This window comes from Homo sapiens, chromosome 14 (genome assembly GCF_000001405.40).
Source record: "Homo sapiens chromosome 14, GRCh38.p14 Primary Assembly".
Classification (NCBI taxonomy): domain Eukaryota; kingdom Metazoa; phylum Chordata; class Mammalia; order Primates; family Hominidae; genus Homo; species Homo sapiens.
The window spans coordinates 16,035,849-16,053,976 of NC_000014.9; the positions used below are offsets into that span (position 1 = coordinate 16,035,849).

At 48.0% G+C, this 18,128-nt stretch overlaps 2 pseudogenes, besides 1 other annotated feature; both read right to left on the reverse strand.

Annotated features, from left to right (window-relative positions):
• Positions 1–18,128: part of a centromere (Linear centromere model derived predominantly from reads generated in PMID: 17803354. This region does not represent an actual centromere sequence, as long-range ordering of repeats and unmapped WGS contigs is not provided by the model. For details of model production, see http://arxiv.org/abs/1307.0035.) that runs on past both edges of the window.
• Positions 11,939–13,888, reverse strand: CDC27P6 (cell division cycle 27 pseudogene 6; annotated as a pseudogene).
• Positions 15,181–18,128, reverse strand: part of LOC107987204 (uncharacterized) — a 5,751-nt pseudogene continuing 2,803 nt past the window's right edge.

An 18,128-nucleotide genomic window follows, 5' to 3' on the forward strand; every position in this document is an offset into this window, starting at 1 on the left:
TCAGGCATGAAGACAACTTCCCATCAGAACCTCTTTTCTTCCCTTTCTCCACCACACAGATGAGACCCATGAGAGGGAGAAACAGCTCAATAGATACTGCTGACCTTCATTTGTGGAATCCTCAGTCATCTACAGACAGAGAGGTGAGTAGACAGGGACCCAAATCAAACACCATTTCCGGGTCCTCATGGTGGGATTCGTCTCTCTCTCTCTCTCACACACACACACACACACACACACACACAATTTCCACATCTAGTTCACAAACCACACTAATTTACACTTTTCACAGTACGCAGTCTGAGTAAAACCCACCCCACCCTCCACCCAGCTGCTGACGAAACCCCTTCTTTACAATTTATTAAAAAGATTATCTGGGCCGGGCACAGTGGCTCACGGCTGTCATTCCAGCACTTTGGGAGGCAAGGGTGGGTGGATCACTTGAGGCCAGGAGTTCAAGACCTGACTGGCCAACATGGTGAAACCCCATCTCTATGAAAAATAGAACAATTAGCCAGGAACTGGTGGCATAGGTTTGTAATCACAACTACTCATAAGACAGAGGCGGGCGAGTTGCTTGAACCAGGGAGGCCGAGGTTGCAGTGAGCTGAGATCGTGCCATGGCAATTATTGAGATAAAGTGAGACTCTGTCTCAATAATAATCATAATATTGTTATAAGATGTGTTGTGCGTGCTGATACCCACCTGTAGTCGCAGCTACTCAGGAGGCTGAGACAAGGAGAAGATCACTTGAGGCCCCACAGGTCGAGGTTTCAGTCAGCTGTATCCTGGGTAGTCACTAGTCAAAGAGATATGCCCCTCCCCGTTTTCTTTTCTTTTCTTTTCTTCTTTTCTCTCTTCTTTTTTCTTCTCTCTTCTTCCTTCCTTTCTTTCTTCTTTCTTTCTCTCACTCTCTTTCTTTCTTTCTCTCTTTCTTTCTTTCTCTTCTTTCTTTCTTTCCCTTTCTTTCTTTCTTTCTTTATTTTTTTCTTTCTTTCCTGCCTGACTGACTTCCTGCCTTTCTTATTTTCTCCCTTCCTCTCTTCCTCCCTTCCTTCTTTCCTCCCGCCTCGGCCTCCCAAAGTGCTGGGATTACTGGCGTGAGGCACCACGCCTGCTTGGCCTAAAGAGAGACCCTTTGAAAGTAAGACACATACAGCGCCTTCTAGTGATCTGATTGATTGATTGACTGATTTAGAGACAGCGTCTCGCTCTGTCACCCTGGCAGTGGTGCCATCATAACTCACTCACTGCAGTGTGGAAGCTCCTGGACTCAAGTGATCCTTCCACCTCAGCCTCCAGAGTAGAGTACCTGGGACCACAGGCATGCGCCACTGTGCCCAGATCATTTTTATGTATTTATTTATTTATTTTCCCGAGACAGAGTTTCGTTCTTGTTGCCCAGACTGGAGTGCAATGGCGCGATCTTGGCCCACTGCAGCCTCTGCCTCCTGGGTTCAAGCGATTCTCCTGCGTCAGCCTCCCGAGTAGCTGGGTTTGCAGGCATGCGCCACCACATCTGGCTGATTTTGTATTGTTAGTAGAGACGGGGCTTCTCCATGTTGGTCAGGCTGGTCTCGAACTCCCGACCTCAGGTGATCTGCTCTCCTCGGCCTCCCAAAGTGCCAGGATGGCAGACGTGAGCCACTGCTCCTGGCCTTCATTTTTAAATGTTTTTCCACAGACAGGGTCTCATCATTTTGTTGCAACCCTCCTGACCCGGCGTCTCAAAGTGCTGGCGTGAAGGGCGTGAGCCACTGCGCCTGGACTCCGGGGAATGATTCACGAACATGACCGCTGTACTAATTCTTTCTTTCTTCTTTCTTTCTTTCTTTCTTTCTTTCTTTCATTGATGAATTTTTTTATTATTGATTGATTGATTGATTGATTGATTTTGAGACGGAGTCTCGCTCTGGTCGAGGCGAGGCGAGGGGAGGCGAGGCGAGGTGAGGCGAGGCGAGGTGAGGCTAGGCGAGGTGCATCACTTTGGAAGCCGCAGCACGGCCTTCTAAAGCCCCATTCAAATGCACAAAGCCCTATTTCCTTCCTGGAGTTGGAGCTGATGCTTTCCATCGCCTTGGGCTTCTCTCCATTCAGAAGTTTTACAGGCGCAACCCCACCCAGAGGCTGGCTGCGGCTGAGGATTAGGGGGTGTGGGTGGGGCTGGAAACTCGGTCCCCTATTGTTGAAAGCTCAGCCAAGACATCCCCCGACCCCCATCGCTTGCTCACCCTTTGAGATCCCCTGACTCCATCGCCTTGGAGGCTGACCTCTTACTTTAATTTGTCTTTCTTCCTTTCCTGCGTTTGAGGAGGGGATGCAGGAATGAGGGTGTGTGCGGGGAGGTGGTGTGGGGTGGGGACGGAGGGGAGCGTCCTAAGGGTCGATTTAGTGTCATGCCTCTTTCACCGCCACCGCCGAAGATGAAAGCAACAATCAGCTAAATACCACGTGTTCTCATCCATAAGTGGGAACTTATAGATGAGAGTTCTGCGTGGGCAGAACGAGGAGGACCAGAGAAGCGGGAGCCTACTTGAGGGAGGAGGGGTGGAAGGAAAGACAGCTTCAGGAAAAAACAAAACACAACAAAACATGAAAACTGTCGAGTACTGCGCTGAGTATCCGGCTGATGAAATCATCTGCACACTGAAACCCCCCCGTCAGAAGTTTACCTATGTAACAATCTTGCACATGTATGTTTGAACAAGAAATGAAAGTTAGGGGAGAAAGAGAGAGAGAGGGAAAGAGAGAGAGAGAGGGAAAGAGAGAGAGAGAGGGAAAGAGAGAGAGAGAGAGAGAAGTGAAAGGAAACAGCACCTCCTGGACCTGAGTCAGGGGGTTTCCGGCCTTTTGGGGGAACATTCAGCTACAATGCAGTATTTGGGCCTGTTCTTTTTTTTTTTTTTCTTCTTTTCTTTTTTTTGGACTGAGTCTCTCTCGCTCTGTCACCCAGGCTGCGGTGAAGTGGCGCTCTCTCGGCTCACTGAAACCTCTGCTTCCCGGGTTCCAGTGATTCTTCTTCGGTAGCTGGGATTACAGGCGTGCACAACGACAGCTGGCTAATTTTTCTATTTTTAGTAGAGACGGGGTTGCTCCATGTTGGCCACGTTGGTATTGAACTCCTGACCTCAAGTGATCCACCTTCCTGGGCCTCCCAAAGTGCTGGGATGACAGGCCTGAGCCGCCGGGATTTCAGCCTTTAAAAGCACGAGCCATGACACTTTTCGCTGCAGCCCTTACAATCAGAATGATGTGTCGTCTCTGCCATAGGTTAACTCCTTGAGTCCCCTATGCCATTGTACTCTAGCCTGGGCAGCAAGAGCGAAACTCCGTCCCCCCACCTTCCCGTGCAAATAGATAAATAAATAATAAATAAATAAACAAACAAACAAATAAATAAATAAAATCTCTACACATGACCTATAAGTGTGCATTCCCATGAGTGATTTCTAAGAAATGGCACTGTACACTGAATGCAGTGGCCCACGTTTGTCATTCCAGCACTTTGGGAGGCCGAGGTGGGTGGTTCACGAAGTCAGGAGTTCAAGACCAGCCTAGCCAACATGGTGAAACCCCGTCTCTACTGAAAATACGAAACTGAGTCGGGTGCAGTGGGGCAGGCACCTGTAATCCCAGCTACTCGGGAGGTTGAGGCGGGAGAATCGCTTGAACCTCGCAGGCGGAGGTTTCAGTGACCCAGGATGGCGCCACTGCACTACAGCCTGGGCGACAGAGTGAGACTTGGTCTCCAAATAAATAAATAAATAAATGAAAGAAAGAAAAGAAAAGAAAAAAGAAAAGAAAACCAGAAAAGAAAGAAAATGAAAGAAAAGTCGCTGTATCGCTACTGGGCTAGGACCTTCCCTCTTTCTGTCTGTTTCTCTTTGTCTCTCTCTGTCCATCTCTGTCTTTCTCTATCTGTCTCTTTCTCTGTCTGTCTGTCTGTCTGTCTCTTTCTTTCTCTCTGTCTCTGTCTCTCTCTCTCTGTCTGTCTCACAGTGTCTGTCTTCTCTCTTTCTCTGCCTGTCTGTCTCTCTCTCTCCCTCCCTCTCTGTTTCTGTCTCTCTCTGTGTCTCTCTCTTTCTGTCTGTTTCTCTCTGTCTCTCTCTGTCTGTCTCTGTTTTTCTCTGTCTCTGTCTGTCTCTGTTTTTCTCTGTCTCTCTGCCTGTCTCTGTATTTCTTTTTCTGAGTCTCTCTGTCTGTCTCTCTCACTCTCTCTCTCTGTCTGTCTCTCTGTGCCTATCTTCTGTCTTATTCTCTTTCTCTACCCATCTGTCTCTCTCTCTGTCTGTCCCTCTCCCTCCCTTTCTGTCTCTCTCTCTCTCTCATTCTCTCTCTGTCTCTCTCTCTTTCTGTTTGTTTCTCTCTGTCTCTCTCTCCATCTCTGTCTGTCTCTCTCTTTCTCTCTGTCTCTGTCCGTCTCTCTCTGCCTGTCTCTCTCACTGTGTCTGTCTTCTGTCTTATTCTCTTCCTCTGCCTGTCTCTCTCTCCCTCCCTGCCTTTCTGTTTCTCTCTCTCTCTGTCTCTCTCTCTGTCTGTTTCTCTCTGTCTGTCTCTGTCTGTCTCCTCCTCTGTCTGTCTGTCTCTCTCTTTCTTTTTTTTTTTCAAGATGGAGTCTCACTGTGTCACCCAGGCTGGAGTGCAGTGGTGCCATCTTGGCTCACTGCAAGCTTCACCACCGAGGTTCACGCCATTCTCCTGCCTCAGCCTCCTGAGTAGCTGGGACTATAGGCGCCCGCCACCAAACCCGGCTAATTTTTTGTATTTTTAGTACAGACGGGATTTCACCGTGTTAACCAGGATGGTCTTGATCTCCTGACCTCGTGATCCGCCCGCCTTGGCCTCCCAAAGTGCTGGGATGGCAGGAGTGAGCCACCGTGCCTGGACTGTCTCTCTCTTTCTTTCTCTCTCTTTCTCTCTCTCTCTTTCTCTCTCTCTCTGTGCCTATCTTCTGTCTTACTCTCTTTCTCTGCCTCTCTGTCTGTCTCTCTCTCTCTGTCTCTCTCTCTCCCTGTCTGTTTCTCTCCCTCTGACTCTCTCTCTCTCTTGCTGATTCTCTCTGTCTGTCTCTGACTGTCTCTTTCTCTGTCTGACTCTCTCTTTCTCTCTGACTCTGCCTCTGACTCTATCTGCCTGTTTCTCTCACTGTGTCTGTCTTCTGTCTTACTCTCCTTCTCTGCCTGTCTGTTTGTCTCTCTCTCCCCCTCTCTTTGTTTCTCTCTCCCTCTCTATCTCTCACTCTCTCCATCTCTCTCTCTGTCTGTTTCTCTCTGTCTGTCTCCGTCTTTCTGTCTCTCTGTCTGTCTGTCTCTCTCTCTCTGTCTCTCTCCCTCCCTGTCTGTCTGTTTCTCTCTCTTTCTCTGTCTCTGTCTCTCTCTTTCTGTTTCTCTCTGTCCATCTCTGTCTCTCTTTCTTTCTCTGTCTCTCTCTTTCTCTGCCTGTCTCTCTCACTGTGTCTGTCTTCTGTCTTACTCTCTTTCTCTGCCTGTCTGTCTGTCTCTCTCTCTCCCTCCCTTTCTCTCTCTCTCCATCTCTCTCTCTTTCTGTTTCTCTCTGTCTCTCTCTGTCTGTCTCTGTGTGTCTGTCTGTTTCTCTCTCTGTCTCTCTCTCTCTTTCTGTTTGTTTCTCCTTATCTGTCTCTCTCTCTCTCTGTCTCTCTCCCTGCCTGTCTGTCTGTTTCTCTCTGTCTCTCTCTGTCCATCTCTGTCTTTCTATGTCTGTCTCTTTCTCTGTCAGTCTGTCAGAGCCCCTTTGCCGGGGAGGGCCCTGCCCCTTCCACGAAAGTGAGAAGCGCCTGCTTAGAGAGGCCGAGAGGAATCTAGACAGACGGGCCTTGCTAGGCTTCGCCACTCGGTGTATGATTTCGGGAGGTCAAGGCCGGGTCCCCACTTGGATGGAAGGGGCATTTTCAAACGTTTCTCTCTGTCACGTGTGGCGTCCCTACTTCTCGTATTTCCCTGATAAGCTCCTCGACTTAAAAATACATGGTTAAGGCCGGGCGCGGTGGCTCACGTCTGTCATCCCAGCAGTTTGGGAGGCCGAGACGGGTGGATCACCTGAGGTTGGGAGTTTGAGACCAGCCTTGCCAACACTGCGAAAACGCATCTCTACTAAAAATACTAAATTGAGTCGGGCGCGGTGGGGCAGGCGCCTGTAATGCCAGCTACTCGGGAGGCTGAGGCAGGAGAATCGCTTGAACCTGGGTGGCGGAGCATGCAGGGAGCCGAGATCGCGCCACTGCACTACAGCCTGGGCTGTAGATTGAGTGAGACTCTGTCTCTAAATAAATAAATAAATAAATAAATAAATGCATTCTTTTCCCTGCTGACTGACACTTGCAGGCATCGGTTGTCTTTGGGCATCACCTAGCAGCCACTGTTATTGAAAGTCGAGGTGACACGGGGAGAGGTCTGGCCGACTTCACCGAACCTGGGGCAACCGGTTTCTGTCTCTCCCTTCTGGAGACCCCTCCCTCTCTCCCTCGTTGCCTAGGGAACCTCCGCCCTGCAGGGGGCCCTATTGTTCTTTGATCAGCGCTTTAGTTTTCTTTCTGTTTTGGTTTCTTTCATGCGCATAGACTCTTCTACTTGGGTTTTAGGAGGGGTCAGTTTAATTTTCAAGTCCCGCCCCGGCTCCCCCCACTACCCACGTCCCTTTACCTTCATTTAGTGAGTCAGTTAGGTGGGTTCCACCCAAACTCCCCACCCCCCGCCTCCCAACACCCTGCTTGGAAACCTTCCGGAGCCACCCCTGTGTGCCTCCGTCTTCTCTCCCCTTCCCCCACCCCTTGCCGGCGATCTCATTCTTGCCAGGCTGACATTTGCATCGGTGGGCTTCAGGCCTCACTCAGTGGCCACTGTTTTTGAAGATGGGGGTGGCCCGGTCCCACTTCCCCAGAGGCAGCTTGGGCCGATGGCATAGCCCTTGACCCGCCTGGGTAAGCGGGCGTGTCTTCAGTTGTGGGTTTTTTCCCATGCTTCCCTCTTCAGGCCTCCCTCCCTAGGAAAGCTTCACCCTGGCTGGGTCTCTATCACCTTTTATCATGATGTTTTAGTTTCTCCGCCCTCGGGCCAGCATAGTTTCACAGTGGGAATGACGTCACAGCTCTAGTCTGGGCCTTATTAGTATTTGCCCAAAATAGAAATGCTTTCTGAAAACTAATACTTTGCTCACTTAAGATTTCCAGGGACAGTGCCTTGGCCTGTGTTTGTTGGCTTGTTTTGTTTTGTTCGTGTTTTTCGTTTTTCTTATGTATTTCTTTTTAGATGAAATAGAAATCCCCAGTTTTCAGGAAGACGTATATTTTCCCCAAGACATGTTAGCTGCGGTTTTCACCTGTTGTTAACTAACGATTTTGTGAATCTCTGAACGTATAGTGAGAGCCGGTTGATGTTTACTAGACTTCAGAACATCTTATGTTCTAGAAATCCGTAAGCGATTGCTGCTGCTGCTCTTGCTGCTGCTGCTGCTCTTGCTGCTGTTGTTGTTGTTGTTTTCAAAGCACACCCCGGCCACCGTTTATGGGATCAAAAGCCTTATAAAATATGTGTAATTATTTCCTGAGCATGCCCTTCCTCCTCCTCTCTCTGTCTCTCTCTCTTTATCCGTTTTCTCTCTTTCTCTGTCTCTCTCTCTTTGCCTGTCTATTTCTCTCTCTCTGTCTCTCTGCCTGCCTCTCTCACTGTGTCTGTCTTCTCTCTTACTCCCTTTCTCTGTCTGTCTGTCTCTCTCTCTCTCCCTGTCTGTTTCTCTCTGTCTCTGTCTCTTTCTCTGTCTCTTTTTCTGTTTCTCTCTGTCCATCTCTGTCTTTCTCTGTCTGTCTCTCTGTCTGTCTCTCTCTTTCTTTCTCTGTCTCTCTGTCTCTGTGTGTCTCTCTCTCTGCCTGTCTCTCTCACTGTGTCTGTCTTCTGTCTTACTCTTTCTCTGCCGGTCTGTCTCTCTCTCTCTTTCTCTCTCTCTCTGTCTCTCTCTATTTGTTTCTCTCTGTCTCTCTCTGTCCGTCTCTGTCTTTCTCTGTCTGTCTCTTTGTCTGTCTGTCTCCCTCTTTCTCTGTCTCGCTGTCTCTGTCTCTCTCTCTGCCTGTCTGTCTGCCTGTAGGTCTCTCTCTCTTTCCCTGTCTGTCTGTTTTTTTCTCTCTCTCTCTTTGCCTGTCTGTTTCTCTGTCTCTGTCTCTCTGTCTGTCACTCTCCGCCTGTCTCTCTCTGTGTCTGTCTTCTGTCTTACTGTCTTTCTCTGCCTGTCTGTCTGTCTCTCTCTCTCCTTGCCTGTTTCTCTCTCTCTCTGTCTCTGTTTCTCTCTGTCTCCCTCTGTCTGTCTCTGTCTTTCTCTCTCTGTCTCTTTCTCTCTGTCTGTCTCTCTCTTTCTTTCTCTTTGTCTGTCCATCTGTCTCTGTCTCTGTGTGTGTGTGTGTTTCTGCCTTCTGTCTTACTCTCTTTCTCTGACTGTCTGCCTGCCTGTCTGTCTGTCTCTCTCTCTTTCTGTCTCTGTCTCTTTCTGTTTCTCTCTGTCTCTGTCCATCTCTGTCTTTCTCTGTCTGTGTCTTTATCTGTCTGTCTCTCTCTTTCTGTCTTTCTCTCTTTGTGTATCTTTGTGTCTCTCTGTCTGTCTCTCTCTGTCTCTGTCTTTCTCTCTCTCTCTCTCTCTCTCTCTCTCGCCCGCTCTCTGGCTCTCGCTATCTCCCGCCCTCTCTTTCTTTGCAAAATATGTTCAAGTACATCTAATCTAGTCCATTACCACGACCTGAATTCTTAACTTTAGACATCCCAGATTTGATCTCCCTACAGAGTGCTGTACAGAACTGGCGAGTTGATTTCTGGACTTGGATACCTCATAGATACTACATATTAATAAAGATCCAACCATAAAATCTGGCGTTGCGTCTCCCTCGACTGTCTCAAAAAATCATACCTCTGTTCACCTAGGATACTGGGAGGGTTTTCTTAATGTGCATCTGCTCGTGTTCTACATGAACTGTGACCGAGCCCTGTCCGTTTTGTCTCAAATATGTATCTGCAAACACGTCTCTCCATTTCCACAACTACCCATGGCCCCTTGTGGAACCACTGGCTCTTTGAAAAAAAAATCCCAGAAGTGGCTTTGACTTTTTGTCTAGGAGGCCTAAACCTGCTGAGAACTTTCCTGCCCAGGATTCTGTGTGAACAAAAGTGCCTCTGCTGGGAGCTGGGATCCTCGGGACCATGCTTGCTATCGTTGGATGAGTCTCTGGAAGGACGCATGGGACTCTGCAAAGCTGACCTGTCCCACCGAGGTCAAATGGATACCTCTGCATTGGCCCGAGGCCTCCAACTTACATCACCGTCACCAACCGTCACCGTCAGCATCCTTGTGAGCCTGCCCAAGGCCCCGACTCCAGGGAGACTCTTGGGAGCCCGGCCTTCGTAGGCTAAAGTAGAAAGGGATTGCGACTTCCACCCACAAGGTCCCCACTGAACTGCAAAGATGTGGAGCATAGGTCAGAGAGGGGACCAGGAGGTGAGATGTCCTGACAGGCGATGAGTTAACTAGGCTCTGGCCACCCCACTCACGTCCCACGTCCCTGGAACCCTCGGAACACTGCCGCTTTATCCCCTCCTCTGTCTAGAGCCGCTCCCACCCCACCCCGCAACCCACGCATACACACTGGAGGTTACAAAACCACAGGGCGTGAATAGAGCCTGACGGAGCAAGAGCTCTTTTCATGAGGCGGGGTGGGTGGGGTGGGGTGAGGGTTGGGGTGTCTGTAGAGAGCCCGATTCTCCCTCGTGGGTGGCTACAGGACACAAATGAATATCGCTTCTTGGGCGGAGGGGCTTCCTTAGGCCGTCACGTTTGCGGGACTATCTCTCAAACCCTTCCTTGAGGCCACAAAATAGATTCCACCCCACCCCTCGACGTTTGCCTGGGTGCTGGATGTATCCTGTCAAGAGACCTGAGCCTGACACGTTGAGTGAAATACCTTTATTGGCTTTGTGTGTTTGTTTGTTTCTGAGATGGAGTCTTGCTCTGTCCCCCACGGCTGGAGTACAGTGGCGTGATCTCAACTCACTGCAACCTCTGCCTCCTGGGTTCGAGTGATTCTCCTGCCTCAGTGCCACCAAGCCAGGCTCATTTTTAAATTTTTAGTACACACGGGGTTTGACCCTGTTTCATTGGTTTTCACTGGAGATTCCAGATTCGAGTCACACCTCATTGTGTGCCACATAATGACTTCTTTTTTTTTCTTTCTTATTTTTTTTAAAGCTCAATATATCTGCTTTATTTGAGTGGCTTTATATATGGTTATAATTGTGTTATAGATGAAGAAAAGGTATTAAACACGGTGCTAATGATAGTGAAAGTGAAAACAAAAGAAAGGCTATCTATTTTGTAGTTAGAATAAAGTTGCTCAGTATTTAGAGCTACCTAAATATGTCAGCATTTAAACTCCTCCTAGTAAAAGTTGGCCAATCTGAATAATCCTCCTTTAAACACAATTTTTGATATGGTTAAGGTTTTTAAGAATGCGACTCCTGCAGAATAGCTGAACAGACAATACACTTTTAAAAAAGAACAACACACGGTTCAACCAGACTTGGGAAAAAAGCAAAAACAACACAAGTCTTATGAAGAACTGAGTTCTTAAAGTATTATGGAGAACATAGCTATCGGAAGAGAAGGCAGTCTTGGTAAGTTGATTGTTACATTTGTCAGCAAAACTAGCACTATTTTTTTGGCAATCTTTCAGACACTGCAACTACTACCGCAAAATGAGATATAATCCATTAAACAATATAGTCACAAATCAAAAAATGTTTTAGTAATGTAATGCTTCAGATTTAGAAGCAAATCAAGTGTTAAAACTCGACTGCTATAAAAATTACCCCCAAAGATAATCGTATCTGACAAAAAAGCTTCCACAGAGTTATGACTTCAGAATTATACTTTCTCTTGATATTTATTTATTAATTTATTTATTTTATTTTATTTTTTTCTTGAGACGGCGTTTTGCTCTGTCACACAGGCTGGAGTGCAATGGCTTAATCTTGGCTCACTGCAACCTCCACTTCCCGGGTTCAAGCGATCCTCCTGCCTCAGCCTCCTGAGTAGGTGGGACTACATGTGCCCGCCACCATGCCCAGCTAATTTTTATACTTTTAATAGAGACGGGGTTTCACCATGTTGGACAGGATGGTCTCGATCTCTTGACCTCGTGATCCGCCCGACTTGACCTCCCAAAGTGCTAGGATGACAGGCATGAGCCACCTTGCCTGGCCTTCTCTTGATATTTAAACTTTTAAGTCAGTCCAGAAAAATACAATAAATGTCAACAGTAATTATGGTGTTGAGGCAGATGTAGGACCAAACTTTTTCGTATGTTATTCAGTTGATAACAATATGACCTGGATAGTAATTTCCTATGTATCTACTTATACAGAAGTAAAAAAAGGAAAACAGAGATACTGCTAAATAAAAGGGTATACTAAGTTCTTAATAGTAACTCAATAAACTGGAACACTTTCAAAAAGCAGCAACTAGTGAATTTTTTCAGTGTTTTTTTCTATTATCCAATAAGTGAATTATGCTATTCCTTTCCAATTTCCCAAGCACTTTTTGTCCCAATCACCATTTCTCTGTTCGAAGAAAAAGTAACAAATCAAGTAACAAAACTAAACAAGCATACAAACAAATAAAACACAATTACAGTATCTGCAAAAGTTTGGTAGAAGACTGAAACTGTTCAGTATAAGGATCTGGTATTCTATTATCATTAGTTAACTGAAGATTTTGTTAAAGACATACATTTCCTAAGAAAACATGTTAGTTTGAAGTTATTGACCAGTATGTACCATCCCTAAATATTAGTAACCAAATTCATGACAATAAAAGAGCTATCTAACAAGAAAAATTAGTGACTACCAGCACCATCTACAAGACTTTGTCTTTACACTTCATTACCACTTACCGTGCATTACAATGTCTAGGATTGACTCTGATAGCATTTCAAAAACAAGCTAATGCTTTGTCCAATTCTTCAGTTAAGACAAACTCTCGCCCTAATAGAGTATAGGCATAAGCATAATTTGGATCCACCTGGATAGCTCTCTGGAAGAATTTAATTGCAATATCGTGTTCCCATTGCAGACTGAAACAGTTCCCTGCAGCACACCAGGGCTCTGGAGGATTTTTATCCATGTCTGTTAAGTCTTTTGACAGAACTGAAAGAGCACCATCTTTTTGAAGATGCCAAAATGTTGTAGAGTAGATTTCCATGCCTTCGACTCTATAATTCTCCATCCTTCAAACCTCTGAGAATATTCTTTCAGCTTGCATGTACTCTGGAAGTTCAAAATAGACCCTTCCAATTTGGCACAGTACCCAACCAGTATTGTAGTGGTGAGAAGGTAGATGGCTCAAAATATTTATAGCTTCTTTGCAGTGGTATGAACACAAAGCTAAATAACCTTTTCCCCTTTCACGAAGAAGGCTCATCAAGCCTTCTGCTGCTGCTTTTTATGATTAAAAGCCTGAATCTGAGGTGTGATTGTGGATATTTTCTCTTGTGAAATGATGAAAGAGTCCAATTTTGTAATTTCCAGGCTATCATTTATGTTAGGTTGAGTTATTCCTCCTTTATTAGTTTTACTTTTTGTTTTCCTGTTTGGGATTTTAGGTGGAAACTTCATTTTTAATTTCTTCCTATTCTCCCTGGTTGTGGAACTGTCACTGGTAAAGAGTCGTGAACTTCTTCAATGCAGCACATTTGGGGGAGATGCCATAGTGGGGCTCAATACCTGAGGTGATGTACTTATTTGTGGACGAGAACTTTGTGTTTGTGCAAGAATTGGAGTTACCTCTCGGCTATTTCCACTCTGTGAGAAGACAGACTTTGCTCCAGTTTGGCCGATTCTAGCAACAGACTTTTTTGAAGGGGATCCGGTGGATGGCACATCAATTTCAGAAGGTGTATTAGTGTAGTTTTGTAAATAGGATCCATCTCCAGGACTTGGGGTTTCTAATGGCAAAATCCCAAAACTTGGGGTTAATGGACTAAGAGCTGCTAGTTCTCCTAATAAACTTCGACCAGTTTTTGGTTTATTTTGAACCTGTTTAGAAAATATGGAAGTTCCTGTTCCCAGTGGGAGAGTGTCAGGTGAAATTACAGCTGAATCAATAGAAGACACTTGGGAATCTGTATTCAAGGAGTACTTTGAATTGGAAGATTCTAAATTCAATCTGTTTAATTCAGTTGTGTCCTGTGGTGTTTCCGTGAGAACAGTCTCAGGCTGTCTGTGACATAAACTATGATTAGGTATTTGTGCTGTGCAAGAGTTGGGCAGACAGTTGCTAAAGTTCTGTGAAGTTGTGAATTTAAATGTTTGGGGGCAGGATCTGGCTTTTCACCTATTTCACATAATGATTCGAAGGGATACCAGAGGAAAGGATTTCAACTAAGGCTCTTTTGGTAACATTCTGATCCTTTGGCAAGCCAATCTGTCTTGCAATATACATGTCCCAACAATGGAAGGGGAAAGCAAGCTCAATCACCAAACTCAGTAACAATATCATCATGGCTTTTCTGCTTATGAAACACTCCACCAGATAAGATTTGTTCCCCTTCTGCAAGCTTGCTAAGATCAACACAACATTTTGCAAGCAGGTATTTGCATTGCGGTGTAGGACAACTGTGTCCTTCCAAGAGTCTATATGCTTTATAGGCCTTTTCTGGGCGGTAAGAACAGGTCGCCTGTAAAAACAAGGCTTCTTCTGAGTGTACTTCTGCATAAAGGCATTCTGCGAGGAAAACCCCATCTCGGTAAGCATAGTGGTTTAGTGCTTGCCATATAGCAGCCTGGACGGGTTCCTGCAGCACCGTCATCCTCGAGGCTCAGACCCACTTTCTGCAGTGCCTCAGGCACTCCCCCACCCCGCCCACCCCCCTCCCCCCCGTAGCAGCTCTGGCCTTGCCAGCCTTAGCTCATTTAAACTCACCAGTTTTGTAGGTTGCCTGTCCACTCTGATGGTAGTTTCTTTTGTTGTGCAGAAGCTCTTTAGTTTAATTAGATCCCATTTGTCAAATTTGGCTTTCGTTGCCATTGCTTTTGGTGTTTTAGACATGAAGTCCTTGCCCATGCCTATGTCCTGAATGGTAATGCCTAGGTTTTCTTCTAGTATTTTCATAGTTTTAGGTCTAACATTTAGGTCTTTAATCCATCTTGAATTGATTTTTGTATAAGGTGTAAGGAAGGGATCCAGTTCCAGCTTTCTACATATGGCTAGCCAGTTTTCCCAGCACCATTTATTAAATAGGGAATCCTTTCCCCATTGCTTGTTTTTCTCAGGTTTGTCAAAGATCAGATAGTTGTAGATATGCGGCATTATTTCTGAGGGCTCTGTTCTGTTCCATTGATCTATATCTCTGCTTTGGTACCAGTACCATGCTGTTTTGGTTACTGTAGCCTTGTAGTATAGTTTGAAGTCAGGTAGTGTGAGGCCTCCAGCTTTGTTCTTTTGGCTTAGGATTGACTTGGCGATGCAGGATCTTTTTTGGTTCCATATGAACTTTAAAGTAGTTTTTTCCAATTCTGTGAAGAAAGTCATTGGTAGCTTGATGGGGATGGCAAAGGAATCTAGAACTAGAAATACGATTTGACCCAGCCATCCCATTACTGGGTATATACCCAAAGGACTATAAATCATGCTGCTATAAAGACTTATGCACACGTATGTTTATTGCGGCATTATTCACAATAGCAAAGACTTGGAACCAACCCAAATGTCCAACAATGATAGACTCAATTAAGAAATTGTGGCACATATACACTATGGAATACTATGCAGCCATAAAAAATGATGAGTTCATGTACTTTGTAGGGACATGGATGAAACTGGAAATCATCATTCTCAGTAAACTATCGCAAGAATAAAAAACCAAACATTGCATATTCTCACTCATAGGTGGGAATTGAACAATGAGAACACATGGACACAGGAAGGGGCACATCACACTCTGGGGACTGTTGTGGGGTGGGGGAAGGTAGGAGGGATAGCATTAGGAGATATACCTAATGCTAGATGATGAGTTAGTGGGTGCAGTACACCAGCATGGCACATGTATACATATGTAACTAACCTGCACATTGTGCACAGGTACCCTAAAACTTAAAGTATAATAATAATAAAAATAAAAATAATAAATAAACTCACCAGTTACCAGGGGATGGGGGAGGCTGAGCCAGAATGACTTCTTTAGCCTGCCGACTCTGGAAAGCCCAACCCCTTGTGATCCATGGCAAAGTGAGAGTCACCTCATGTTTGGAAAACAGATCCACTCTTAAGTTCAGTGGAGGGATGTGGCATATAGGACGAAGGACTCTCTTCATTCTGATTCGGTCTGCACAGTGGGTCCTAAGGCTGGAGCTCTCTCTGTGTGGACTGCTGACTCCCTCTACCTTGGGTTCCATCGGCCCCACCCTGGGACACTTGCCTTGGCAGATTCTGGCCCTTCTGGCCCTTAAGTCGCTGTCAGAAACCTCATCTCGCGCTCGGATGCCCCGAATGACTGTGGCTCGCGCATCTCTGGAAACATTGGAAATCTCTCCTCTACGCACGGCCACCTAAAACCACAGGAGCTCGGGACACATGGCTGCCATCCACCTCACTGCTTTCGGGAGAGAATGCTGAGAGTCTCTTACAAACTCTCTCTTGACTTGAGTTCTTCATGGGTGTGTGGTTAAGACATAGTGAGACCAGATGTATTAACTCAGGTCGGGTGCTGGTGTCTCACGCCTGTAACCCCAACACTTTGGGAGGCCGAGGCCATAGGATCCCTTGAGGAATCGCCTAACCCTGGGGAGGTTGAGGCTGCAGTGAGTGAGCCATAATGGTGTCACTGCACTCCAGTCTGGGAGAAAGACAGAGTGAGGCCCTGTCACAGGCAGGCAGGCAGGCAGGCAGACAGACAACAGTTGTATTATATTCTTCTCTGGGTAGGAAGTAAAAATAACAGAATAAAGTGCTTAATTTTTTTTTTTTTTTTTTTTGAGACGGAGTTTCACTGTTGTTGCCCATGCTGGAGTGCAATGGCACCATCTCGGCTCACCGCAACCTCCACCTCCCGTGTTCAAGCGATTCTCCTGCCTCAGCCTCCTGAGTAGCTGGGATTACAGGCATGTGTCACCACACCCGGCTGATTTTGTATTGTTAGTAGAGACGGCATTTCTCCATGTGGGTCAGGCGGGTCTCAAACTGGCCACCTCAGGTGATCTGCCCACCTCGGCCTCCCAAAGTGCTGGGATGACAGGCGTGAACATTTGAGCCCTGCCAGCTACGTTTTTTATAAATTTTCAATTTTAATCTATTATTATTATTTCTTTTTTGAGATGGAGTCTCACTCTGTTGCCCAGACTGGAGTGCAGTGGCATGATGTCGGCTCACTGCAAGCTCTGCCTCCCGGGTTCATGCCATTCTCCTGTCTCAGCCTCCCAAGTAGCTGGGACTACTGGCATCTGCCACAGCGCCTGGCTAATTTTTGGTATTTTGAGTAGAGACAGGGTTTCACTGTGGTAGCCAGGATGGTCTCGATCTCCTGACCGTCGTGATCCGCCTGCCTCGGCCTCTCAAAGTGCTGGGATTACAGGCGTAAGCCACAGCTCCCGGCCTACTTATCTATTTATTAACTTTGAGTCCAGTTTATGAAACCAGTTAGTTTTCGTATTTTTTTAGAGAAGAGGTTTCACCATGTTGCCAAGGCTTGGATCGAGGGATCCACCTTCCCTTGCCTCCCAAAGTGCAGGGATGACAGGCGTGAGCCTACCAAGCCCGGCTCCTCCCCTTCATCCCCCAGCTTATCCCTCAGGTGCCCGAGGTCGAGCGGTGGTGTGTGGTTCCCACCCTCAGCGCCCCCTCCTCCGGTCACCGCCGCGATGTCCACGAGTGGGTCCTGAGGGAGCTCGTTGGTGTAGGGGTTGAGGCGGTTGAGTGAGACGCGCTCCTCCCACGCGGGGAAGAGTGCTGCCTGATCTGGCGAGCGCAGGGCCCGTGCTCCTCTCTGGCGGGTGCGCGCGGGCCGTGTGAGCTATTGCGGTGGGCTGGGTCAGATGACGCGTGCGCCGTCCGGCAGCCGAGGGGCTACCGTTCTGCCTCCGACAGGTTGTGTGTGGGTTTACTTGGAGGTGCTTTGCCTGGGAGAAAGGAGGCTGGTCGACGGGGGGGCCCTTGTGGGATTGCGCACACGTGCAGCGGCCAGGCCCCCTGCCCAGACCGCGAAGGCTCAAGGTTGCCGCACGCAGATTTTTCCTGGTACCGCAGGCCCCCTCCCTTCCCCAGGCGTCCCTGCGCGCCTCTGCGGGCCCGACGAGGGGCGACTGGCATGTGGGAACTGTGACTCACCCTCAGTGAGAAAGCCTTCTCTAGCGATCTGAGAGGTGTGCCTTTGGGGTACCGGATCCCCCGGCCTGCCGCCTCTCTCTGCGTTATGGTAGCGCTGCCGTGGCGACTGGCTTGCAGAGGACCCTCCTCCACTGCCCCCTTGATGGGGTGAGGGGGGGAGAGCAAGGGTTCCGCCAGCCTCCACGGTGGGGACCCAGGGAAGCTCGTCGCCTACTGTGTGGCCCGCGCCTCCCCCTTCCGAGTCGGGGGAGGATCCCGCCGGGCCGGGCCGGGCCGGCGTCCTAGCATTTGGGAGGCTGCGTGAGCGGTGGCTGTGCCTGGCGTTCAGTCCAGCTTGTGACCCATTCCGCTGTGAGCCGGCTCTCTGCCCGCTCCCCTGCAGAGCAGCGACCGGTGCCGACGACCGCGTTTGCGTGGCACGAGGTTGGGCCACCTGGCCCTGGGAAGCATCCCAAGTGGGGGGCATGTCGGTCTCCTGGAGCTTGACCGGGTTGGAGGATGGATGAGAAACGAGCAACGTGGCCCTGGCGTTGGGTTTGTGGCTGAGGTCGCCTCGGGGTCCTGATGGCGGGACCCGGGGCTCATGAGGCGGGTCTTGGTGGGTGCCGAGGGCCATCCGGCATCCTAGGCGGGTCACTGCGGGACCTCCCTCGTGTCTGTGGTGGTGGGATCCCGTGGCCGTGTTTTCCTGGTGGCCCGGCCATGCCTGAGGTTTCTCCCCGAGCCGCCCCTCTGCGGGCTTCCAGGTGCCCTTGCCCTC